General features: G+C 34.9%; 1 long non-coding RNA gene across 1 annotated transcript in view, besides 1 other annotated feature; it reads right to left on the bottom strand.

Moving 5' to 3' along the window:
- The window catches only part of NRXN1-DT (NRXN1 divergent transcript), a 1,375,317-nt gene that overhangs the window by 499,291 nt on the left and 848,333 nt on the right, over nt 1-27,693 (bottom strand). The window lies entirely within an intron of this gene.
- Nucleotides 16,698-17,198: an enhancer, noted in NCBI's record as "H3K27ac hESC enhancer chr2:52118567-52119067 (GRCh37/hg19 assembly coordinates)". NCBI's record gives its function as "activates a minimal SCP1, AML or CMV promoter by ChIP-STARR-seq in primed H9 embryonic stem cells {active_cell/tissue: H9 hESC(primed)}" and the evidence as "EXISTENCE:reporter gene assay evidence [ECO:0000049][PMID:30033119]".

Below are 27,693 nucleotides of genomic sequence, written 5' to 3'. Positions count from 1 at the left end.
AGAAGAATAAATCCACATTATTTCACTTGAAATTTTATTTTTCATTTTAGGGAAATTTTATTTTAACAGGTAGGGTTTATGTAACGTGTGTAATCACCCTGTAAAAGTTTTAGTTCTTATGTACATAATTCAGCGTTTCCACACTCAGACATAAATACTGGCCGAATATAAATTCAGGTGACATAATAAATTAATGTTTAAAACTGCTATGTTATTTTCAGATCAACTACAATTGAAGGCAAATTCTTTCCTCATATGTTAACCGCTTCATTTGAAAATAAAGATTGATTTGAGAATTTGACAAATTTGAATTTTCTAACTGCTTTATCTCTACAGTTATAAGGAATCATTGGATTTTTAATATCCTCCAATTCTATGTCTTCTTTGTTCTGATAGCAAATGACATCCAATTCAAAGCAATGTAGCTCTATAAGATAAAAACAAATGTGTTAAATCTGAGAAGCTGATATACAGAGTAAAAATTTTTAGTACATTTCTGCTACATACTCTTAAAGGAGGGGTTCAAAAGAAACTATCACATTTAGTTAAGTGAAGCATTCTTTAGATCGGAAACCCTGTTTACTCATTTAAAATAAGATAAGCACTATCATTCATTTCTTAATTGTCTAGTAAAATTATGTTCTCAAATGATAAGATATACACATCTCTTTTTAGAGGAAAACATGCTTTCTGATTTTTCCTGGGCACTCGATTTCTAAAATAATAGGACTACATATTAAACTTCAAAATTCCTATTTTATTAAGAAGATTTTGCTTTCAGTCTTTGCTTCTTTTTTACTTTGGTCACCAAAGACTTTGGATCCAGGAAGCATGTCCAAATACAGAGAAATGCACTGATTATCGTCAAGGATTTTACATTTTACACCAGTGAGGGCAGTTCCAAATTCCTTTGAGATAAATTAGAAATGTTTTTATTACAGGCTTCTGAAAAATATTTTTCATATTTTTACTTCAAATTGAAGATGTCATTATGCTTCTTAAAAACAGGTCCATAGAAACTGGTAGGCTTTTCGTGTTGCAAATTCATCTGTGACTCTGAGCTTAATATTAGTAAATTAGAATATAGGCAGGTAAGTAGAACAGACGTTACACAAATCAAAAGAATACGAAAATAAACTCAAAGTGTCTATAGAAGTAGTATATTCCAGGCACTTTCTAGAGAGCTCTAATTTTTTAAAAAGTGTACTGTATACTCAGTATGTGTCAGTCCCTAGGGTAAGTAGGGTGTATTTAAGTTTTCACTCTGTTTGAGATTATAGTTTGTTAAACAAGAAGACATACATAACAAGACAAAAAGAAAGATACCACTGTATGATTAAACAAAAAGTCATGAAAATGTTTCTATAAATAATGTCGCCATACAGCTGCTTTCCCTGGGAAAATCCTGGATTATGCCTTTTTGTCCTGACATAATTATTAATTGTATTATTTTTCACTGCCAAACTGCCCTGGTTTGGATGGTAAATGATATGGCTCAACTACTCTTGAAAGAAAAATAGTAATTGTCAAGATGAAGGGGAAAAAATGGGCATTCCAGGAAGATCTGCAATTTAAAGTCATACAAGGCATGAAAATGCATGGTGTCTTTGAGATATTCAACGTAACATGTTAAGCATAAATTGCAAGAAGGAGGCTAATGAGAAGAGAAAGTGGAGAGTCAGATCAGTTAGACTCTAAAGGCTGTCTTTGCCTGTAGGTAAAATATTTTATTTTACCTCAAAGCAAGTAGGAAGGGAAAGAAATATTCAAACAAGGTAACTGCATAATTGGGTAGATATTGTAGAAAGAGATATAAGCAAAAAATCAAGGCTGGAAATTAGATATTATGATCATTTTCAATAATTCAAGAAAGAAATTAGAACTTGAACTAAGGCAGTGGCATTTAAGATTGAGATAAACAGATGCATTCAAATGATATAAAAGAGGCTGAATTACAGGGTCAATACATTTCCTAAACTCCATATTTTAAAAAGGCATTATTATATTACAAAATTCTTCATTCTTTAATATAGCATAATTTTTAAAAAATTATATATTTGAGTGGGTCTTTTGTCAAATACAATGAAATCCTAATATCATACATCTGTAAAGTGGCCCTTTGTGCATGAAATAAGACTGAAATACTATTTTTATTCAAATAACATTTTTATTGTAATAAAATAAATATAAAATAAAATTTTAAATGTAATCATTCTTAAGTGTACAGTTTAGTGATATCAAGTATATTCATATTGTTTTTCTACCATCGAAATCATCCATCTTTAGAGGTCCTTTCATTGAAAAACTGAAACTCTCTACCCATTAAAGAATGACTACCCATACCCCTTTGCCCCAGACCCTGGCAACTACCATTCTACTTTCTCTATCTGTGAATTTGACTACTGTAGGCACCTCATATAAGTCATATAAATCATATAAGTCACATAAATCATGCAGTATTTGTCTTTTTGTGACTGGCTTAATTATTGTTAACCCTGCTCTCTTCTGCTTACTATTTGCAAGAAAAGTCTTTTTTCAATATTTCATTTTTAACATATTTGTGTCTCTAAATCTAAGTGAGTCACTTGTAGATAGTATATAGTTGGAGGAATTTTTTTTTGTATTTTTGTTTTTTGTTTTTTGAGACTGAGTCTCGCTCTGTTCCCCAGGCTGGAGTGCAGTGGCGCAATCTCGGCTCACTGCAAGCTCCGCCTCCCGGGTTCACGCCATTCTAGTTGGAGTATGTTTTTATACCCATTCTGCTTATCTCTGTCTTTTCATTTAGAGAGCTTAACAACTTTACATTTAAGTAATTACAAAGGAGAGGCTTGTTTTATTTTGTTATTTATGTTCCCTATGCGTTACATTAATTTTGTATCTCATTTCTGACGTTACTGTTTTCTTTTGTGTTTAGTCTATTTTTTTTGCAGTGAAAGCTTTTCATTCCCTCCTCATTACCTTTTGTTCATGACGTATATTCTATAACTAGATTCTTTGTGGTTACCATGGGGATTACATTTAACATCCTAATGTTAAAGCATTATAATTTGAGTTTCCACCAGTTTAACTTACAATAACATACAGAAACTCTTTTCCTAAACAGCTTCATCCTGACCCTTTTCATTTGTTGATGTCACAAAATTACATCTTTACATGTTTCCAAAAATATAAATATGTCTTATGTATTATTATTTTAAATTATATGGAAAACCAAATGTGGAGTTACAAAGTAAAGTTACAAGAATACTAACTTTTAAACTAACAATAGTTTTAAAAAATGTATTAGTCTCTTAAGTAATGTAGAATACAAAAAGTGAAATTACAAACCAATATTAAAATAATGCTAGCTTATATAATTACCCACGTATTTACCTTTACTGGAATGTTTACTTCTTTATACACCTTTGTAAGTTTTACTGTTTAGTCTCCTTTCATGTCAACTCACAGGATTTCGTATAGTACCTAGTAGGGCAGATCTAGTGGTAATAAGCTGCCTCAGTTTTTGCTTATCTGGGAATGTTTTAATGTCTCTCATTTTTGAAGGACAGTTATCCTGAATGTAGGATTCTTGGTTGAAAGTCTTTCATTTTTTTTTATAGTACTTTAAATATATTGGCTCACTGCTTTTTGCCCTCCAAAATTTCTGAGGAGAAATCTGCTGACATTCTCTGAGAATCCTTTTTTACATGCTACTTTACTTCTTTCCTTCAGCTTTCAAGTTTTACCCTTTGTCCTTGGCATTTTATAGTTTGATTATAATGTGTCAATATAGGTCTCTGAGTTTATCTGACTTGGAGTTAATGCAGCTTCTTGAATGTTTATATCCATGTCTTTCATCAAATTTGGCAAATTCTGGTCATTCTGTCTTTGAAAAATTTCTTTACCCCTTTGTCTCTCTCTTCTCCTTCTGGAACTTCAATATGTATTTTAGTCTTCTTGCTGGTAACTTACAAGTCCTTTGGGCTCTGTTCACTTTTCTTCGGTGCTTTTTCTTTCTGTTCCTCAAACTCAATAATTTCAATTTTCCTATCTTCGAGTTCACTCATTCTTTCTTCTTACTGCTAAAATCTAACTTTGAATCCCTCCAGCAACTTTTTCATTGCGGTAATTGTACTTCAAAGTTTCATAATTACTTTTATGTTTTATATCTCTTTATTGACATTTTAATTTTGTTCATACATTGTTTTCTTGACTTTCTCCACATCGTTCTTTAGTTCTTTGAACATATTTAAAACAATTGTTTTAATGTCTTTGACTAGCAAGTTTGCCAGCTGGTCCTTCTCAGGATGGTTTCTCTTGGATTACTTTTTTACCTTAAAATAGGCCATACTTTCCCATTTATTGGTACATTTTGTGATTTTTTTATTGATAAAAGCAGAACTTTTGAACCTAATAACTCAAATCATCAGATTCTGCTCCTACCCCAAGCTTTGTTGATTTTTGTGGGGTGTATTTTTTTTTTCTGCTGTAGGCTGTCTTTGTGCAAGAAATTAGTCAGATATATAAGCTTTAGATCTTTTGAGGGCCTTTTTAAGCCTGTGACTATCACTGGTTGTATATAATAACTTTCTAATTCCTCCATATATTTGGTTTTCTTTTGAATATTCTAGGGTTTTACTGTCTGATTCCTAAATGGGTAAAAAGAGAAAAATGAAGATGGGGAGAAAAAAGGCTCTGGCCCTTTAAATTTCCTGGACGTTGCTTCATCAAAGTGGGAGGGGCTTGCAACATTAGAGCAAGAGGTACAACAATTGCTGCTCACTTATGTATCTATGCCTCCAAGACCAAAAGAAGCAATCAACAATTAAAAAATAAATCCCCAATTTTTGGTGGACAGGATCTTTTTGTCCACTCTGGCTCTCACAAGCTCTGTTCAGCCTTTCCAGGAACATATACACAGTTGCCTGCCATGGATTCTAGGGGTTGGATAGCTGCTACACTGCTAGCAGCTGAAATAGGCTTACATTAACTGAAATTTACCTTGCAAATCTTCCCCTGGGAGTTGCAATCCTTGGAATAGACTCTGGAACTCCCAAATACTTACATCAGACTAATTTTGCCAATGCAATTGTTGTCTAGGTGGGTATACGTATCCAGGAATCCTTGCTGCTTTGCTTTCATCCTAGAATCCTCTAGAATATTTTTAATTCCTTCTATCCAACAATGTTCTATTCCTATGACATATTCCCAGAACTGCTTGTAAAGGTCAAAGGCAAAACTACAAAGAGTTCTAAATTTGAGATTGATGAAGACTTCCTGCCAGTACATATCAATGCCAATTGTTATGAAATCAAAAGTTCTATTTTGTAGTAATTTAGCAATAGTTTTTTTTCTTTTTTTGAGACAGAGTCTTGCTCTGTCACCCAGGCTGGAGTACAGTGGCCCAATCTCGGCTCACTGCAAGCCCCGCCTCCCAGGTTCACGCCATTCTCCTGCCTCAGCCTCCCTAGTAGCTGGGACTACAGGTGTGCACCACCACGCCCAGCTAATTTTTTGTATTTTTAGTACAGATGGGGTTTCACCGTGTTAGCCAGGATGGTCTCAATCTCCTGATCTTGTGATCCACCCACCTCGGCCTCCCAAAGTACTGGGATTATAGGTGTGAGCCACTGCACCTGGTCAGCAATAATTTTTACAAATGAAATTTAAAATAGTAATTTAGTTGTTATAATTTAAAACAGAGAAAATAATGTGCTCTGCCAACTTTGTTTTCCCATTAACATGAACTGGAAACAGTCATTTGGAAGTGATTGTTTACATGAGACAAGGGAAATGAAGAATTTATGAGTATGAAATGTCTTCTCTGAGATGACTGACTGTTTTTTATAGAGGGTAGAACAGTAAAAAATTTTTGTGAGAAAAATATGAGTGGAGATTCTCTACATTGGGTATGAGTTGGCGGTTACGTGATATCCAAGTGAAGAAGTCCAAAGAAAGTTAGATTTATGGATTTTGACTTAGAAATGGCTAGACTTGGTTTAGGAATTTGAAGATCATTTTACCATAAGTAGAAGAGAAAAATACAGAGTGAATAAGAATCCTTAAGCGGATTGAGAAGAGTGCTAAATATATATATATATATCAGGGAAAATGGAGGGAAAAAAGGAAATTTGAGCATTAAACTTAAAAAATGCAGAGCTGTTGACTGCTCAGAGAATCAGGAGGGAAACATGAATGTCTGGAAATTAAAGAAAGAAAACAATCCAATAGTGGAGCAGTGAGTAAGTCTGTATGCCGCGTGTGTGAGTTTATTGTGGACGCTGAACAAATTACTACAGATTGATAGTTTAAAACAAAACAAATGTATTTTCTCAGAATTCTAAAGGCCAAAAGTTCAAAATCAGTAACTTGGGCTGAAATCAAGGCAGGATTTCACTCCTTCTAAAGGCTCTAGAGACAATCCATCCCCTGCTTCCTGCACCTGGTGGCTGCTGGCATTCTTTGGCTTGTGCCCACTTGACTCCAATCTTCAAGGTCAGCAACTTTAACTCTCTGTCTCTGCTCTGTCTTTATATCACCTCCTCCTCTGTGTGTATCAAATTTCTCTCTGTCTCTTTCTTATAAGGATACTTGTGATTGCATTTAGGACCCACTCAGATAATCAAAAATAGCCTCCTCATCTCACCTTTACTTTATCACATCTGAAAAGAACCTTTTACTCAATAAGGTGATATCTACAGATTCCGGGAATTTAATCCTGGATATCTTTTCAGGCCATTTTTAAGCCTGCCACATCCCATGTAACTTTGGTAGGATGAAACTTATTAGCAATCATTGGATTTAGCAGATAAAGGGATTTTAGTGACTATAGTAACGGAAAGTTTAAAGTTATAGGTGGAAAGCAATACGCAAAAACAAACAAAATTGTTGTTTGTTGTCCAGGAATTGCAGTTCTAACTTGGTATGAGAGAAAAGAGTCTTAAAATTCATTTCTGGAGAACCGGCACCTGTGGATAATGGATTATTGGGATGGAAATTATAATAGAGGTGAAGACCATTTTAAAAGATCTTTTAGTAAATTCACTCCTATGGTAAATTACATTTTTAAAACACTTCTATGGTTACAAATGAAAACCACAACCCATATAAAATAAATATTTATCTTAATACATTGCATAGGCAATATATCTTATAAACACCATCCAGGTTAAGATACAAAGTTAATCACATCCCTGAACCAAATCCCATCATTGCCATAAATTTAACCCCATAGATTTGAAAACATTTAAAATTTTGCTGATATATGCTCATGGTATCATTCAACATGGTCTTTTGCCTTCTGTATTTCCTGCAAATAAAATAGGCAACCAGCTCCAGAAGCTCAGTTTAACTCAGGTTAAATCAAGGCATGAGATAGTGGTATACAGTGTCTGATGCTCCCTTTCTCTTGTAAATTCTTCATGTCTTTTTGTAAATGTCATTATTTAGATGTAATTGACAAGAAGTAAACTTCACATATTTGAAGTGTATCATTTGATAAGTTTTGACATAATGCATACACCCATGAAACCATCAATATCTTCAAGATAATATATCAATTCCCAAACTTTCTGTGTAATTTTTTTAACCCCCTCCTGCTTGATTCTACCTGCCATATCCAGGTAACAAAATGACAGATCAGTTTGCATTTTCTAGAATTTTACATACATGAAATCATATAGTATGATTTTGATACTGTCAATATCCTTCTTTCAAATAGCATGATAATTATGATATTCTTTTAGGTTATTGCATGCATTGATAGTTTATTCTTTTATATTACTGAGTTAAACTCCACTTATACCACAGTTGCTTGGTCTATTAATGTATTTTGAACATTTTCTTGATTTCTAGTTTTTGGCTAGTAGTATAAAGGTACTCTAAATATTTATTTTGAAAATATCGAATGGATAGATTCAGTCATTTTCCTTGAGTAAAGCATCTAGAAGAAGAATAGTTGTGTCACATACTAAGCATAAATTTAATGTTTTACAAAGCTGCCAGGCTATTTTCCCAAGCAAGTGCAGTGTTTTATTTTCCCACCAGCAGTTTTCAAGAGTCACTACATGTTCTCAACACTTGTTATTATGAAGGCTTTTGAATTTTAAGCATTCTGATAGGTATGTAGTAGTATCTCATTGTGGTGTCAAATTGCAATTTGCATCAACCTGCATAATTTCTAATGTTCGCTATCTTTTCATGTGCTTTATTGTAATCCATATATCTTTGGAGAGATGTTTGTTTAATTCTTTTGCCTATTTAAAAAATTTTATTATTTTTGTGATGACTACAGTAGTCCCCATTATGCATTGAGTATATGTTTCAAGACCCTTGGTAGATGCCTGAAACCACAGATAATACCAAATCTGATTGCCGTCAGTTGGAACACATTCTGTTAATGTCTTTCATCTGGAGATTTAGTGTCCTTCCCATCTTAACTAAGCACTTATCATGCACTGTGGCTATAACTTTTGCAGTTTGAGATTCAACAGCAAATCAGCACAAATTTCTTTTTCCTTAATCACAATTTCATAGATAAGAAGATTCTTACTATAGATCTTAGTACCCTCAGCGTAAGATATTTTTTTCTTGTTGAGTGAGAAACTTTCACCTTTTCCCTAAAGAAAGCACTTTAAAGCTTCCCTCTTTGGCATATGTGAATTGCCAGCATCACCAGTCTTGTGCTTTGGGGCCATTATTAAGTAAAATAGGGATTGCTTGAACACAAGCACTGAGATTCTGTGATAGTTGATAGCTACTAGGTAACTAAAGGGTGGGCAGCATAACACCTCATAAATATGCTGAATGAAGGGGTGATTTACATCCCAGCCAGGACAGAGTGGAATGGCACAAGATTTCATCATGCTACTCAGAACAGCACACAATTTAAAACTTACAGTTTGCTTATTTCAGGAATTTTTATTTGATATTTTCAGATTTTGCTTGACCATGTGAGTAACTGAAACCCTGGAAAGCCATACTGCAAGCAAAGGGGAATTATTGTAATTTTACATGTCAACCTGAATAGGCTAACATATCCTCAGATAGCTGTGTCTATGAGGGTATTTCTAGAAGAGATTCACTTTAGAATAGGACATCCATCTTCTACCCTTAGACATTAGTTTTTTAATTCTCAGCCCTTTGGTCTAGGACTAGAAATCAAAGAATTACACAATTGGCCTCACTTTTTCCTATGCTCCAACACCCTATTCTCAGGCCTTCAGACTTTGAAGCTGGAACTATACCACCAGCTTTTCTGGCCCTATCACTTATAGGGAGCAGATCATGAGGTTTCTCTGGCTCCATAAATGTGGGAGACAATCTGTTATAATACATCTCTTCCTGTACTATCTAAATGTAACCCATGTAAATCACTACATTTAATTAAAAGAGAAAAATAATAATATTTACAGAAAAATTATTCAAATACCTTCATAACAGCAAATTCTAGACAATCTTATAAATCAAAAAGTAAATAAATATGAGTAACCAATTTTTTGTACAAAAATAAAATGTTTATGTTATTGAGAAAGACATTTAAGGCCATGTTAACCAATATTCAAACTGCAAACACCATAAAGTTAGGACTTTATACGTTAGCTATGAAGGAATTTAAATATGTTAAATGATAAGCATGGACTGGGAAATGTTTGAAACTGAAAAAAATAAACCTAATATCCAGGCCCAATTTTTAAATTACTGAAAATAAATAAGAAAAAGAGAAACGGCCTAAGAACATTATGCAAATAGTACAAGACATTTCACTGGAGAGAAAAATAAAATAGCCAATAAACATAAAAATGTTTATCCTAGGTAGTAGCTAAAAAATGCAAATTAAAATGAGAATAATTTTCAGCTATCTAGAGAGAAAGAGATCATGTAAAATATAAAAAAATCATTGGAGTATGAGAAGATACGTGGCATATAAAAGACCTTCTTAATAAAAACTATAAATTGACATTTTTTAAAAGACAACTCAATAGCAAAAATGAGCTAAAATTATCCAAATGGTCAATAAACATGTGAAAGTTTATCACTGATCATGAAAAAACAAATTAAAATTATTAGATATCATTATATATCCAGAATAATGTGTCAGATAAAAAAGAGAAAATACCAAATACTGGCAGCCTTGTAAAGAAATTATTTGGATGTTAAATTTGTAAAACTACTTTGGAAAAGTGTTTATAATATTTACTACAACTAAATATATCTAATGACACAGTAACTGTACTCACAGGTATATTTTCAACAGAAATGTGTACATATATTCACCAAAAATAAAAAAGAATAATCGTTGCATAACTACTCCTAACAGCCTCAAACTGGAAACTATTCAAACACCCACCAACAAAGAACAGGTAAACATACTGTGTTATAATCACACAATATGGAAACTATTAAACACCAATGAACATATAATAGGTAAACATATTGTGAGATAGTCACACAACAGAATGCTATATATAGCTATGAGAATGAACTAACTACTTCACAGAACAGTGTGGATTATTTCAAACATACAAGGTTGAACCAAATAAGCAAAATGGAGGAGTTTATATTCCACAATTCTGTTTATGTAAAGTACAAAAAATAGACTATACTAACTTACACCTTTAGGAATTTGGATAGTAGTTAGTTACCCTTACTGGGAGTGGTTAAAGAACTGGGAGCATGAAAGGGTTTTCTGAGGTGCTGGTCATGTTCCCTTTCTTGATCTGGTTACTGGGTATACAGACATGTTCTGTGTGAGAAAATTTATGGAACATTTTCGCTTGGAGAGAATTTAAAACAACCAACAGTTTTTTAAAGAGCTCCTCCAGATTGGTAACTAATTGATAATCATTCCCTTTTTAAAATTTATATTTCATTAAAGTACACACATTTTTAAAAAGAATAATGTTATTGAATCGCCCAAGATGTGAAGATATAGGTATTCAGACACGATGCTGGTAGAAGCATTAAAGAGCAATGCTATATCAAAAGTTCATTTGGCAGCCCCATAAACCTAAAAATATATACATGCTGCAACACATTAGTTCTACTCCATCATCCAGAGTAACTTGCAACTATGTAGGTGGGCTACATAAGAATATCCATCAAAAAATTATTTAAATTTTGTTAAAACCCTTTATATCTACTAATAGATCTTGATGAAATTAAATATGCTATATCCATTCTGTACTTGAAGTATACTTTTAGCAATCCTAATAACTAATTAGAAATATGGACATGGATAATTCTCTGTAATATGGTGATAGGAAAAATACAGATAATTATCTATAAAACATATTAAAATACTTGTTAACATTATACATGCAATAATAATTTTATCACATATTGAAATATAATATCAACATATAAAACATTATAACTTTGTATTTAATCATATATAATTAATTTCTAGAAGAAAATACTCAATTTTAATTTAAAAATTAAAGCAGACCAATACTCTGCAGGCAACTGTATGGGAAACATACATGCATACATATACACATAGATATATAAATATATATATAAATGATTATTAACATTATAAGGATTATACACACATATTATAAATATTCACTTTTTAAAAGAAACCCAAATGTTATGTCAATGCCTATTTATCAAAACTTGATTCTTAAATCCTAGATTATAGAAAATTAAACCATAATGTAAGATTTTTGAGAAAGATGCATGATATATTTTCCATTTCATACTGTGAGCGAACTAACATATACTTTCTGTTTTTACAGAAATAATAAGGTAAAACTTGTTCAAAGTAATTTGTCAAAAACTTCTGAGTAAACACAATTATTTAAAAAGTTGTAAAGTATAAATACCAAATATTTAGGGAAATAAAAAGGTAAGCAGTCAGCACAAAAAATAAAAAGAAATTGTAATAAGCAAAAAAAAAAAAGAAATCCAAATATAAAATGTGATGCGATCCCCTATAATTGGAAATAAACTAAAATCACTTCCAAATAACAACACTTTTAAGTTTGGGCTAAAAGTTGATGTCCAATCCTTTGATATTCATAAAAATAATATTTAAATCATAGTGATGTATGAAGTTTAATAACAAAAAATTAAAGTTAGACCAACAGATACACCTAATAGTATTTATTACATTAATCATTTCATATAAATATAATGCATATATTTTTATTATTTATATTTACATACATACAAGAAATTACAAGTGACAAATTAATATATCATTATAAAAGTTAATTCAAAAAGGCTTATTTTCATTAATAACATATGCAAATTTTAAGAAGGAAAACAAAGTACCTTTTAATTTAAGAAATGCCTTATGTAATTGTCAGGTCAATATACACACATAAGTTACGAATTACCAATGAACTAGTAAGATAGGAAACACATGTATGAAAATCTATGGTATATTTTCAAGCTGTATTTAACAGTATATACATAAAGTTAAATTATGCATTGTCTTTTGAATGAGAAAAAAAGCAATGGATTTAATTTCAGAAATAAGTGTGCAAAATAAAGCCTAAAGAAGGATAATAATAAAGACATATATCAATATTAATGAACTAGAAATGAGAAAAATATGCTAGACAATATCCTAAAGGTAGTTTGAAGTCAGGTAGCGTGATGCCTCCAACTTTGTTCTTTTTGCTTAGGATTATCTTGGCTATATGAGCTATTTTTTGGTTATGTATGAAATTTAAAGTAGTTTTTTGTAATTCTGTGAAGAAAGTCAATGGTAGCTTGATGGGGATAGCATTAAATCTATTAATTACTTTGGGCAGTATGGCCATTTTCACAACACTGATTCTTCCTATCCATGAGCATGGAATATTTTTCTATTTGTTTGCGTCCTCTCTTATTTCCTTCAGCAGTGATTTGTAGTTCTCCTTGAAGAGGTCCTTCGCATCCCTGTGAAGGACCCTGTGAAGTTGTATTTGTAGGTATTTTATTCTTTTTATAGCAATTGTGAATGAGAGATCACTCATGATTTGGCTCTTTGTCTATTATTGGTGTATAGGAATGCTTGTGGTTTTTGCACATTGACTTTGTATCCTAAGACTTTGCTGAAGGTGCTTATCAGCATAAGGAGATTTTGGGCTGAGACAACGGGATTTTCTAAATATACAATCATGTCATCTGCAGAGACAATTTGACTTCCTCTCTTCTTATTTGAATACCTTTATTTATTTCTCTTGCCTGATTGCCCTGGCCAGAACTTCCAATACTGTGTTGAATAGGAGTGGTGAGAGAGGGCATCCTTGTCTTGTGTCGCTTTTCAAAGGGAATGCTTCCAGCTTTTGCCCATTCAGTATGATATTGGCTGTGGGTTTGTCATAAATAGCTCTTATTATTTTGAGATACGTTCCATCAATAAGTAGTTTATTGAGAGTTTTTAGCATGAAGAGGTGTTGAATTTTATCAAAGGCCTTTTCTGCATCTATTGAGATAATCATGTGGTTTTTGTCATGGGTTCTGTTTATGTGATGGATTGTGTTTATTGATTTGCATATGTTGAATCCAGCCTTGCATCCCAGGGATGAAGCCAACTTGATTGTGGTAGATGAGCTTTTTGATGTGCTGCTGGAACCAGTTTGCCAGTATTTTATTGAGGATTCTTGCATCGATGTTCATCAGGGATACCGGCCTGAAATTTTCTTTTTTTGTTGTGTCTCTGCCAGGTTATGGCATCAGGATGCGGCTAGCCTCATAAAATGAGTTAGAGAGGAGTCCCTCTTTTTCTATTGTTTGGAATAGTTTCAGAAAGAATGGTACCACCTCCTCGTTGTACCTCTGGTAGAATTTGACTGTGAATCCGTCTAGTCCTGAGCTTTTATTGGTTGGTAGGCTATTAATTGCTGCCTCAATTTCAGAACTTGTTATTTGCTGATTCAGGGATTCAACTTCTTCCTGGTTTAGTCTTGGGAGGATGTATGTGTCCAGGAATTTGTCCATTTCTTCTAGATTTTCTAGTTTATTTGCACAGAGGTGTTTATAGTATTCTCTAATGGTACTTTTTATTTCTATGGGATCAGTAGTGATCTCCTCTTTATCATTTTTTATTGTGTCTATTTAATTCCTCTCTCTTTTTTTCTTTATTAGTCTGGCTAGTGGTCTGTTTTGTTAATCTTTTAAAAAACCAGCTCCTGGATTCACTGATTTTTTTGAAGGGTTTTTCGTGTCTTTATCTCCTTCAGTTCTGCTCTGATCTTAGTTTTTTCCTATCTTCTGCTAGCTTTGAATTTGCTATTGTGTCTCTAGTTCTTTTAATTGTGATGTTAGGGTATTGATTTTAGATCTTTCTCACTTTCCTCTGTAGGCATTTAGTGCTATAAATTTCCCTCTAAACACTGATTTAGCTGTGTCCCAGAGATTCTGGTACGTTGCGTCTTTGTTCTCATTGGTTTCAAATAACTTATTTACTTCTACCTTAATTTTGTTATTTACCCAGTACTCATTCAGGAGCAAGTTGTTCAGTTTCCAGGTAGTTGTGCGGTTTTGAGTGAATTTCTTAATCCTGAGTTCTAATTTGATTGCAGTGTGGTCTGAGAGACTGTTTGTTATTATTTCCATTCTTTTGCATTTGCTGAGGAATGTTTTACTTCCAATTATGTGGACAATTTTAGAATAAATGTGACGTGGTGCTGAGAAGAATGTATATTCTGTTGATTTGGGGTGGAGAGTTCTGTAGATGTCTATTAGGTCTGCTTGGTCCAGAGCTGAGTTCAAGTCCTGAATATCCTTGTTAATTTTCTGTACATTGATCTGTCTAGTATTGACAGTGGTGTGTTAATGTTTCCTACTATTATTGTGTGGGAGTTTCAGTCTCTTTGTAGGTCTCTAAGAACTTCCTTTATGAATCTGGGTGCTCCTGTATTGGGTGCACATATATTTAGGATAGTTAGGTCCTATTGTTGCATTGATCCCTTTACCATCATGTGATGCCCTTTTTTGTCTTTTTTGATCTTTCTTTTAGTTTAAAGTCTGTTTTATCAGAGACTAGAATTGTAACCCCTGCTATTCTTTGCTTTCCATTTGCTTGGTAAATATTCCTCCATCCCTTTATTTCGAGCCGATGTGTGTCTTTGCACATGAGATGGGTCTCCTTAATACAGCACACTGATTGGTCTTGACTCTTTATCCAGTTTGCCAGTCTGTGTCTTTTAATTGGGGCATTTAGCCCATTTACATTTAAGGTTAGTATAATTATGTGTGAATTTGACCCTGTCATTATGTTGCTAGCTGGTTATTTTGCCCATTAGTTGTTGCAGTTTTTTTATGGTGTCGATGGACTTTACAATTTGGCATGATTTTGCAGTGACTGGTACCAGTTTTTCCTTTCCATATTTAGTGCTTCCTTCGGGAGCTCTCGTAAGGCAGACCTGGTAGCAACAACATCTCTCAGGATTTTCTTGTTTGTAAAGGATTTTATTTCTCCTTTGCTTGTAAAGCTTAGTTGGCTGGATATGGAATTCTGGGTCGAAAATTCTTTTGTTTTAGAATGTTAAATATTGACCCCCACTCTCTTCTAGTTTATAGGGTTTCTGCAGAGAGATCCTCTGTTGGTATGATGGGCTTCCCTTTGTGGGTAACCTGACCTTTCTCTCTGGCTGCCCTTAACATTTTTTCTCTTCATTTCAACCTTGGTGAATCTGATGATTATGTGTCTTGGGATTGCCCTTCTCGAGGAGTATCTCTGTGGTGTTCTCTGTATTTCCTGAATTTGAATGTTGGCCTGTCTTGCTAGGTTGGGTAAGTTCTCCTGGATAATATCCTGAAGAATGTTTTCCAACTTGGTTCCATTCTTCCTGTCACTTTCAGGTCCACCAATCAAACATAGGTTTCGTTTTTCACATAGTCCCATATTTCTTGGAGGCTTTGTTCATTCCGTTTTCATTCTTTTTTCTCTAATCTTGTCTTCATGCTTTATTTCATTAAGTTGCTCTTCAATCTCTGATATCTTTTCTTCTAATTGATTGATTCAGCTATTGATACTTGTGTATGCTTCATGTAGTTCTTGTGCTGTGCTTTTCAGCTCCATTGGGTCATTTATGTTCTTCTCTTAACTGGTTATTCTAGTTAGCAATTTGTCTAGCCTTTTTTCAAGGTTCTTAGCTTCCTTGCATTGGATTCTAACATGCTCCTTTAGCTCAGAGGAGTTTGTTATTACCCACCCCCTCCTGAACCCTACTTCTGTCAATTCGTCAAACTCATTCTCTGTCCAGTTCTGTTCCCTTGCTGGTGAGGAGTTGTGATCTTTTGAAGAGGCATTCTGGTTTGTGGAATTTTCAGCCTTTTTATGCTGGTTTTTCCTCATCTTCGTGTATTTATCTACTTTTGGTCTCTGATGTTGGTGACCTTTGGATGGGCTTTTTGTATGGGTGTCGTTTTTGTTGATGTTGATGCTATTCCTTTCTGTTTGCTAGTTTTCCTTCTAACTGTCAGGCCCCTCTGCTCCAGGTATGCTGGAGTTTGCTGGAGGTCCACTCCAGACCCTGTTTGCCACGGTATCACCAGTGGAGGCTGCAGAACAGCAAAGATTGCTGCCTGTTTCTTCCTCAGGAAGCTTCGTCCCAGAGGGGCACCCGCTGGATGCCAGCCAGAGCCCTCCTGTATGAGGTGTCTGTTGACTCCTGCTGGGAGGTGTCTCCCAGTCATGAGGCACGGGGGTCAGGGACCCACTTAAGGAGGCAGTCTGTCCCTTAGCAGAGCTCGAGCATTGTGCTGGGAGATCCACTGCTCTCTTCAGAGCTGGCAGGCAGGAATCTCTAAGTCTGCTGAAGCTGAGCCCACAGCCACACCTTCCCAGATGTGCTCTATCCCAGGGAGATGGGAGTTGGTTGGCAAGATGGCTGAATAAGAACAGCTTTGGTCTGCAGCTCCCAGTAGATCAATGGAGAAGGCAAGTGATTTCTGCATTTCCAACTGAGGTACCCAGCTCATCTCGGCGGAACTGGTTATACAGTGGATGCAGCCCATGGAGGGTGAGCCAAAGCAGGGAGGGGTGTTGCCTAATCCGGGAAGTGCAACGGGTCAGGGAACTCCCTCCCCTAGCCAAAGGAAGTCGTGAGGGACTGTACCGTGAGGAATGGTGCATTCTGGCCCAGATACTATGCTTTTTCCATGGTCTTCACAACCCATAGACCAGGAGATTCCCTCCAGTGCCTGTACCACCAGGGCCCTGGGTTTTAAGCACAAAACTGGGTGGCCATTTGGGCTAGCTGCAGGAATTTTTTTCATACTCAGTGGTGCCTGGGACACCAGCAAGACAGTACCGTTCACTCCCCTGGAAAGGGGGCTGAAGCCAGGGAGCCAAGTGGTCTACCTCAGTGGATCCTAACCCCATGGATCCCAGCAAACTAAGATCCACTGGCATGAAATTCTCGCTGCCAGCACAGCAGTCTGAAGTCAACCTGGGGCACTCGGGCTTGGTGAGGGGAGGGGCATCCACCATTACTGAGGCTTGAGTAGGCATTTTTTCCCTCACACTGTAAACAAAGCCGCTGGGAATTTCGAACTGGGCAGAGCTCACCACAGCTCGGCAAAGCTGCTGTAGCCAGACTGCATTTCTAGGTTCCTCCTCTCTGTACAGCGCATCTTTGAAAGAAGGCAGCAGCCCCATTCAGGAGCTTATAGGCAGCTCTTTTTAAAATAATATTAAATATACACACAAATTTGTGAAGTTTAATCAAAACAAGAAGAGATAAATTAACAAGAACAAGACAAATACAGTTAAATTATAATTGGATACTGTACAATTCTGCTTATTTAGAAAAACTCTATAAAATATTTACCTTATTAAAAAACATAAAGAATCAATATTAACTTGAGAACATCCAATACAACAGAATTTGTCAATTTCCAAATAAGAGATTAATAAAATATTATAATGATATTTCCCAAATTGAATATGAGTGCAGATGTTTTTAATCAGTGAATTATCTAAATTGAGAAACATTTTTAAATATTAAAAGAAAGGAAAAATATTCTATGCATACTGCACAACTGTCATATATCTAATGTAGACCAGGATTGCAAACTCACAACCAGTCTTATTTCTGTATATAGGGGCAAAACTACCTAATGAAATGCCACCAATTTGAAATTTATAGAAGAGTTGCAACATAGTATGCCATAAGTAAGTAAGTTTACCTCAGGAATACAGGGATATTAAATATATATAATATATGAAAATGCTAAATGCTGATAAAGGTCTTTAATAAAGCCCAATGCTTTACTGATAATGCTTTAGCAATCTAAGAATAGTTACATCTTTTTTGTACTAAAAATTCTCTGTCTTTAAGAAATGGATGACAGTATCCTAATAAAGAGACTTTCCTCAGGATAGGGATAGATTTTTTTCTTAGGAAATATCTACACATTACTGATTATAATTTCAAATTCTTAGCCTTGAAATTCACAGAAGGGCGACACTAAAATACCCACACAAAAAAATACTCTTTTAAGTTCACTCTTTCTCTGACCACTTCCTCTTTTATTGTTTCTCTTTTCTTCTATGGAAAAAATAGTAACTTAAAATAATTTTCAGGCAATGTGGTCCAGCCCCTGTTCTCATTGATCACACATGTAAGAATGAGCCAGTTAACACACAATCTTTATCCCAATTATAAGGACACTGATGGTGCAATCATTTATAAGTAGTGGTGGGGTAAATGGCATTTAAAAATCATTAGATAGTCTTTTTTCTCTAGAGTGCCTTTTTCAAGGCCAACAGAAGATCAAATATATCATCAGAACATTGAAATGAAAGCTTTTGTGTTTGGTTTATTGTCTGATAGTACAACTCTAAATATGAAGGGCAAAATCAAGGTGCGAATTGTAGAACAAATTTATTTGAAGTGTCCTGTAACATTTTTACCACTAACAGAATACTTTTTTTTTTTTTTTAAGACTTTTTGGGTCATGTGGCAGTATTCTGTGGTGGTAACCAAGAGAGTTATTCCTTATTCTCCTTCCAACTCTGCTGGTGTATTTCAAATGCAAAACGAAAAAAAAAAAAAAAAAAGATAAGGGGTTGGTTAACTTTGTCAAGCAAATTTGAGAAACTCATGATTAACCGGAATTAAACAAGGGCTTTATGCAGGAATTATTAAAATATTTAATGTCCTTCATTAAAGTGCACATGCATAATATAAAATGCTGCATTTTCTGACTATGCCTTAGAAATATCTTTTTCAATGCATATAACTTGAATAAGTGTTTTACACAATGCCTTTTGGAAAATACCTGTTTGAACTAGTTCACACATCCAGAGAGACTAAGTTTTATGTATTTTGAAAACTACTACAATTTTTTAAAAAAATTTAATTGATAAGTAATAATTGTACATATGGTGTACAAAGTGATGTTTTGACACGTATACGTTTTGTAATTAACAAATCAGAGTAATTGTTATATTTGCACCTCATTTATCATTTATTTGTGGTGAAAACATTCACAATCTTCTCATCTAGCTATTTTAAAATATACAATACATTATTATTAACTATAATCCCTCTACTGTGCAATAGAACAGCAGAACTTTATCCTCCTAAATAACTATAACTTTGTACCCTGTGACCAATGTCTTCTGATTCTACATCTACCCCTTTCTCTTCCTCCATGCTCCAGCCTCTGGAAACCACCATTCTATGCTCTATTTCTCTAAGTTCAAGTTTTTAAATTTAACATATGAGTGAGATCATATGGTTTTTGTCTTTCCGTGCCTGTCTTGTTTCACTTAACATAATGTCCTCTAGGTTCATCCATGTTGTCTCAAATGGCAGAATTTCTTGTTTTGTTTTGTTTTGTTCTTACAGCTTAATAGTATACAATGGAATGCTTGCCTTCTTGGGTCAAACTGGATCAGCCCCTCTGAATCTCTAGAATCAACAGAGGTGGCAGTCTCTCTGACTGGGCAGGTCACTGCCGTGGGCTCTGAGGCTGGGCAGGGAGACTAGCAGTCTAGGAGCTCAAGCTAGATTTTACTTCCCATAATGCTTCTGAAGTCAACCAGCTCAGCTTTGTGGTACCGTATGAGCTTGTTTGATACCTCTGATTGATCACAGGAACACAGAGGTTCAACCAGAATGCATGCATTATTCACTTTCTTTGTTTCTACCTAACCGCCCCCAACCCCCCACCCTGGGGGAGGGGAAGGGGGACAGGGGAAGTGGGTGGAGGGTCAAGTTGTGCTATTTCCCTTAGTACTCCCTGTGAGGTGAGACTGGATTGGGCTTCTTGGGAAGTGTTTCAGAATGCTAGGGAAGCTGGATGACTACTTCTGGTTGTCTTTTCTCCCTGCAAGCCCAGGAAAATACTGTCTAGTGTGGCATTGTGCTGACTTGCAGTAAAGGTAGAGGATGGTGAGCAGAGTGAGACCATTCTACCTATTCTTCTAATTTGGATTTTATTCAGTTCTGTGTACCACGTGGGTATCTCATACTTGACATCACTGTAGCATCATGACTTTATAACATTCTGTGTGATACAAAATGAATGATTGTGTTCTCTTAAAACATGGATTAAATCTTAGCCCCAATGTGATGATATTAAGAAGTGGGACCTTAAGGAAGTGATTAGGTCATGAAGGTGAGACATTAAGAATGAAATTAGTGCCCTTATAAAAGAGGTTCCAGCATACTCCTTTGCCTTTGCACCCTGTGAAGTTGCAATAAGAAGATAGCTATATAACCAGGAACTAGAAAACCAGCCCCAACCGGACACCAAATATGCCTGAGCCATGATATTGTATTTTTCAGCCTCTAGAGGTGTGAAATATATATTTGTTTTATTTATAACCCACCTGGTCTATGGTATTCTGTTACAGCACTCCAAAGGGATTAAGACACTGATATGGTTTGGCTATGTCCCCACCCAAATCTCATCTTAAATTCTAGTTCCCATAATCCTCACATGTCATGGGAGGGACCTGGTGTGAGGTAATTAAATCATGGGGGAGGTTACTCTTATGCAGTTTTTGTGATAGTGAGTGACTTTCACGAGTTCTGATGGTTTTATAAGGGGCTCTTACCCCTTTGACTCAGCACTTGTCCTTGCTGTCGCCATGTGAAGAAGTACATGTTTGCGTCCCCCTCCTCCATTATTATAAGTTTCCTGAGACCTCCCCAGCCATGCTAAACTGTGAGTCAATTAAGCCTCTTTCCTTTATAAATTACCCAGTCTTGAGTATGTCTTTATTAGCAGTGTGAGAACAGACTAATATAGACACTGTGTAAATTACTGAAACTTAACAGGTACATAAAAAGAAAGATAAGAAAAAAATTAATATAATTTTTCTCATACTTAATTTTTACATTTTATTATTCATTTAAAATTATACATTTAAAAGTATACATTTAAAACATTATACACTTAAAATTCCTAATGTTTCTCCCCCCTTTATTCCTCCTTCTATCGCTTTCTTCCTTCCTACCTTCCTTGCTACCTTCCTTCCTGTATAAATCTCCTTTCCTTATTTTAGCATATTTAGGCAGGAACAGAATGACAGGAGTTTGCATGTTGTCTGTTGTCTCACAGGAAATAGGCAGTGCTCCCTCATGAACCCTCAGCTTATCAGCTCTGGAAAAGTGATTACAAAATTGGGTTTGGACTTATTCGTGATTTAACTTGAAAATTGCCTTTTTGCCTCCCTGGGATTCCAGCTAAGGCTATTAGAAATGGAGTTGGACAATTCCCTCTTGCTATTCTCCTTAAGTTCTGACATTTCATTATATGCATCTTTAATTTTTTTAAACAAAAGAAATTGAGAAAATATTAGTGAAATATTTGAGATCTTTTTTCTTTTATGTTCATTGTTCACATTCTTAAGAGAATCATTTCAGAGATTTTTAATGGATGTATTTGGAAACCAGACATCAATGGGGATACAAATATACTTGGGATTATAAAAGCAGGACTACATAGGCCTTATAATAGCACAACAAAGAATACAGCCATTGCTATATAAGAAGTATAAAGAGATATGAAAACAGTACAAAATTTTAATTAAAACTTGGGCTTCAAGCTGAAAGTAGTATGTGAATTAGGCTTTGAAGCTGATTGAGTCAATGTAAATAACTGGAGAGCTGGGCATACAAGAAATTCTATGCACGGGAAAAGAGAAACAGTAAAAACAGGGACAGCAAGAAAACAAGGACGGAAAAAATTCTGTGAGCAGAGAAACAGTGGCATGAAGAACAGAATGTGAGGTTAGAGTTATGGGAGTTTGAATCTGGCTGTGACACTCCTTGGCTCTGTGACAAAGTTCCTGTACTGTGAATATAACAATGGTAACTAAATTACAAGAATGTTATGAAGATTATATGAGATAATGGATTTAAAAGTGCTTAGCATAGTTCCTGGTGCATAGGAAGCACTTGTGGGAATGAAGTTGTTATTCTTGCTGCAATTAAGAAAACAAAGAAAACTCTATGTACCTGAGCCGAAGTTCTAGGGAAACTGATGATGTGTTTAGAAACCTACAATGGAGCCAATTGTGGAGGCCTTGAATATTTTATGTTATTGGCATGATATTGAGCATAGCAATGTCATGGTCAGGACCATATAGGTATTTAAAAGTTAATCATTGGGAATATCTAGCACGTTTAAGAATGGGAAAACTATCAATAACCAAAATCAGATGGGAAGTCTCTAAAATGCCTGGAACATGTGGGAAAGAAATAGAACAAAGAGAAAAGTCAGTAAGTATGAGCCAGGTAGGTAGTTTTGTGGTTAGAAAAAAGTCTTAGTATGTAGAACGATGGGGATAATAACATTTTCCTTTACCATTTAATTAAAAATATTTCTTGAGACTTGCTGTGTTCTAAGTCTTATCCCAGGTTGCTAGTGATATGCAAAAAGACCAAATCTTCATTCACTTTACATTCAGTTAAGGGATGGCATACCTTCGACACACCGTTGATACATACAAAATAATTTCAGATGTAGTAAGTATAATGAAGATTTACACAGCAACATTTTAGAGAAATAAATAGTGGTGAAGATATTTTAAAAGACAGGCTCCTTTGGATAGCCTGGACAGATAAAAAGATGTACATCTTATATTATGCTTGTATTTGAAGACAAGTTCCGTGAAGGTAAAGATTTAAGCATTTTTCCCTTCAGTTTTACTAGTTTTATAAGCTTTTCAAGTCCCCTACTGAAAGCCATGACACATGTCTTCAGAAGTTAGCAATTAGGGCACTGGGTACTGAAAAGAGAAGCTACTGCATCTTCTGCAACCAGCTAAGGTATTGTTTAACTTTCCCCAAATAAGTTTCTGGACCAAATATAAAAAATTTATTGTTTGATTGCACTTAAATTTCCAAGGATATGCAATCGAAGACATGCTATTTTCTCCATTGATGTTCTTGATACTGTTTTCAAAGACATTCACTGAAGATGTAAATGTGAAAGAATACAGGACTTACATAAACTACATACATTTTATCAAACTTATTTTGGGAGAAGCCTATTTCATGCTTATAATTATTCAACACTTGCAAATCAATCCTTTCTGCCTCCTTTCCTTCCTTCCTTCTCTCTCTCTCCTCTTTCCTACTTCCTCCCGGTCTGCCCTTTACTGGCTTAGTTGGTTTATTTATTTACTTATCTGTTTTTAAATAATGAGTTACAGATATCCAAGAAACCTAGCATTTTGGGTAAAATGTTTGTTTTTAATTTTAATTTATGCATATTGTATATTGATTCATAAATTATAAATTAATCTTGAAGAGAAAATTGATATATATTTTATCACTGTAAAATATACATATAAATTATTAATTTGTTATTGTGAAATGCCAGTCCACCTGAGAAAAATTATTTTAAAAAATTTTGAGACTACTTTTTTATTTAGGGATATTTTAAAAAAATAAATAAGATTGATGGGCCGCTAGTTAGACTAATAAAGAAAAAAAACAGAGAGGTCCAAATAAACACAATCAGAAATAATGAAGGTGACATTACCACTGACCCTACAGAAATATTTTTTAAAAACCCTCATAAACTTTGAAATTATGAACATCTCTACTCACAAAAACTAGAAAACCTACAAGTAATGGATAAATACCTGGAAACAAACAATCTCCCAAGACTGAACCAGGAAGAAATTGAAACCCTCAGTGGACCAATAGTGAGTTCTGAAATTAAATCAGTAATAAAAGGCTTCCCACCAGAAAAAGCCCAGTATAAAATAGATTCACAGCTGAATTCTACCAGTTATACAGAGAAGATACACTGGTAATATTCCCAGTGAAACTATTTCAAACAAACTGAGGAGGAGAACCTCCTCTCTAACTCACACTGTGAGGCCGTCATCATTTTGATACCAAAACCTGACAGAGACACAAGAAAAAGAAAACTTCAGGCTAATATTCTTGATGAACATAGATGCAAAAATCATTAACAAAATACTAACCATCCAAATCCAGTAGCACATCAAAAAGCTAATTCACCAAAATCAAGTAGGCTTTATCCCTTGGCTGCAAGGTTGGTTCAATATATGCAATTTAATAAATGTGTCTCATCACATAAACAACACTAAAACCAAAATCACATGATCACCTCAAAAGATGCAGAAACAGCTTTTGATAACATTCAACATTTCTTCATGTCAAAAACACTAACAACCTAAGCACTGGAGATACATACCTCAAAATAATAAGAGCCATCTATGACAAATCCACAGCCAACATCATACTGAATGGGCAAAAGCTGGAAGTATTCCCTTTGAGAACCAGAACAAGACAAGGATGCCCACTCTCACCACTGCTATTACACATAGTACTGAAAGCCCTAGCCAGAGCAATCAGGCAAGAGAAAGAAATAAAGGCATCTAAATAAGGAGAGAGGAACTCAAACTATCTCTGTTTTCAGGTGATATAATTCAATACCTACAAAACCCCATTGTCTGTGACCAGAAGCTCCTAGATCTAATTAACAACTTCAGCAAAGTTGCAGGATACAAAATCAATGCACAAAAACCAGTATTTCTATACAGCAATATTGTCCAAGCTGAGTGCTGTATCAAGTCATACAAAATAGTCATACCAAAAAAAAAAATACCTTGAAGTACAACTAACCAAGAAGGTGAAAAATCTGTACAATGAAAATTACAAAACACTGCTGAAGGAAATCAGAGATGACACAAACAAGTAGAAACTCAATCTGTGCTCATGGATATGAAGAATCAATATTGTTAAAATGGCCACAGTGCCAAAAGCAATTTACAGATTCAATGCTGTTCCTATCAAAATACCAATGAAATTTGTCACAGAATTAGCTAACACTCTTCTAAAACTTATATGGAACAAAAAAACAGCTGGAATGGCCAAATCAATCCTAAACAAAAACAACAAAGTTGGAAGCATGATATTACCTGACTTCAAACTATAGTATAAGGCTACAATAACCAAAACAGCATGCCACTGGTACAAAAAGACACATATCAAAGGAACATCATACAGAGCCCAGAAATAAAGCTGCACAGGTACAACCATATAACCTTCAAAAAAGTCAACATAAACAAGCAATGGGGAAAGGACTCCCTATTCAATATATGGTGCTGAGATTATTGGCTAACTGTATGCAAAACATTGAAATTGGATCTCTTCCTTACACCATATACAAAAATCAACTCAAGATGGAATAGTGACTTAAATGTGAAAACTAAAACTGTAGAAACACTTGAAATCAACCTAGGAAATACCAGTCTGGGCATAGGTTTCAGCCAAGGTTTCATGAAAAAGATGACAAAAGCAATTGCAACAAAAACAAAAATTCACAAATGGGACCTAATTAAACTAGACAGCTTCTGCACAGAAAATGATATTATCAATAGAGTAAATAGCAAGCCCACAGAAGGGGAGAAAATATTTGCAAAATATACATCTGACAAAAGTCTAACATCTAGAATCTATAAGAAACTTAAGGCTGGGCACAGTGGCTCAAGCCTGTAATCCCTTTGGGAGGCCAAGGCGGGCAGATCACGAAGTCAGGAGTTTGAGGCCAGCCTGGCCAACATGGTGAAACCCTGTTTCTACTAAAAATACAAAAATTAGCCGAGCATGGTGGTGCGTGCCTGTAATCCCAGCCACTGGGGAGGTTGAGGCAGGAGAATGGCTTAAACCCAGGAGGTGGAGGTTGAAGTGAGCCGAGATCATGCTACTGCACTCCAGCCTGGGTGACAGAGCAAGACTGTGTCACAAAAACAAAAACAAAAACAAAAAAACTTAAATACTGCAACAAGCTAAAAACAAACGAACAAAAATCCTCATTATAAAGTGGGCAAAGGAAATGAACGGATACTTTTCAAAAGAAGATATACACATGGCCAAGAAGCACATGAAGAAAGCTCAATATCACTGATAATTAGATAAATGCAAATCAAAACCACAATGGGATACTGTCTCACACTAGTCAGAATAGCTATTATTAAAAAGTCAAAAAATAACAGATGCCAGTGAGATTGTAGAGGAGTACTTAACACTGCTGGTGGGAATTTAAACTAGCGTAGTCACTGTGGAAAGCAGTTTAGCAATTTCTCAAATAACTTAGAATTACCATTCAGCACAGTAATCCCATTGTTGGGTATATATCCAAAGGAATATAAGTTGTTCTACCATAAAGACATATGCATGCATATGTTCATTGCAGCACTATTCACAATAGAAAAGACATGGAGTCAACCTAAATGCCCATCAATGATAGACTGGATAAATAAAAATTCCATAAACACCATGGAATACTCTACAGCCATAAAAAAAAAGAGATGATGTTCTTTTCAGCACCATGGATGGAGCTGACGGCCATTTTTCTGAGTGAACACAGGAAAAGAAAACCAAATACTGTACTTCTCCCTTGTAAGTGGGAGCTAAACATCGAACACACATGAACTCAGTGGAGGGAACAGCAGACAACGAGGCCTACTGGAGAGTGGAGGGTGGGAGGAGTATGCAGATCAAAAACCTACCTATTGAGTACTGTGCTTATTACCTGGGTGACAAAATAATGTGTACATCAAACCCACATGACACACATTGTATCTATATAACAAATCTACACATGTACCACTGAAACTAAAAGTTAAAAAAAAAACAGCTTTTTTTCATTGTTTTTCTACATTGTGTTTCTTTAATTTTTAATTTTTGTGGGCACATAGAAGGTTTATATATTTATGGGGTACATTAGAGATTTTGAAACAAGCACAGAATTCACCATAATCACATCATGGAAAATGGAGTGTTTATACCCCCACAGGCATTTATCCTTTGTGTTACAAACAACCCATTCATAGTCTTTTAGTTATTTTTAAATGTACAATTAAGTTATTATTGAATATAGTGACGGTATTGTGCTATCAAAAACTAGGTCTTAATCATTCTTAATAACTATTTTTTGTACCCATTAACCATCCTAACTGCCCCCCACACATACCCACCATCCTTCCCAGCCCCTGGTAACCATCTAGAAGAATGTCTATTTTGTATTTTATGTCTCACAAATAAGTGAGAACATGTGACGTTTGTCTGCCTGGTTTATTTCACTTGACACAACGACCTTCAGTTCCATCCATGTTGTTGTAAATGACAGAATCTCATTCTTCTTATGGCTCCATAGTACTCCATTGTGCATAACTACCACATTTTCTTTATCTGTTCATCTCTTGATGGACCTTTAAGTTGCTTCCACATCTTGACTGTTGTGAACAATGCTGCAATCAACATGAGAGTGCAG

The sequence above is a fragment of the Homo sapiens genome, chromosome 2 (assembly GCF_000001405.40).
Source record: "Homo sapiens chromosome 2, GRCh38.p14 Primary Assembly".
Classification (NCBI taxonomy): Eukaryota; Metazoa; Chordata; class Mammalia; order Primates; family Hominidae; genus Homo; species Homo sapiens.
The sequence above is the reverse complement of the archived record's forward strand: the minus strand, read 5'-3'. Positions and strand labels throughout refer to the sequence as shown.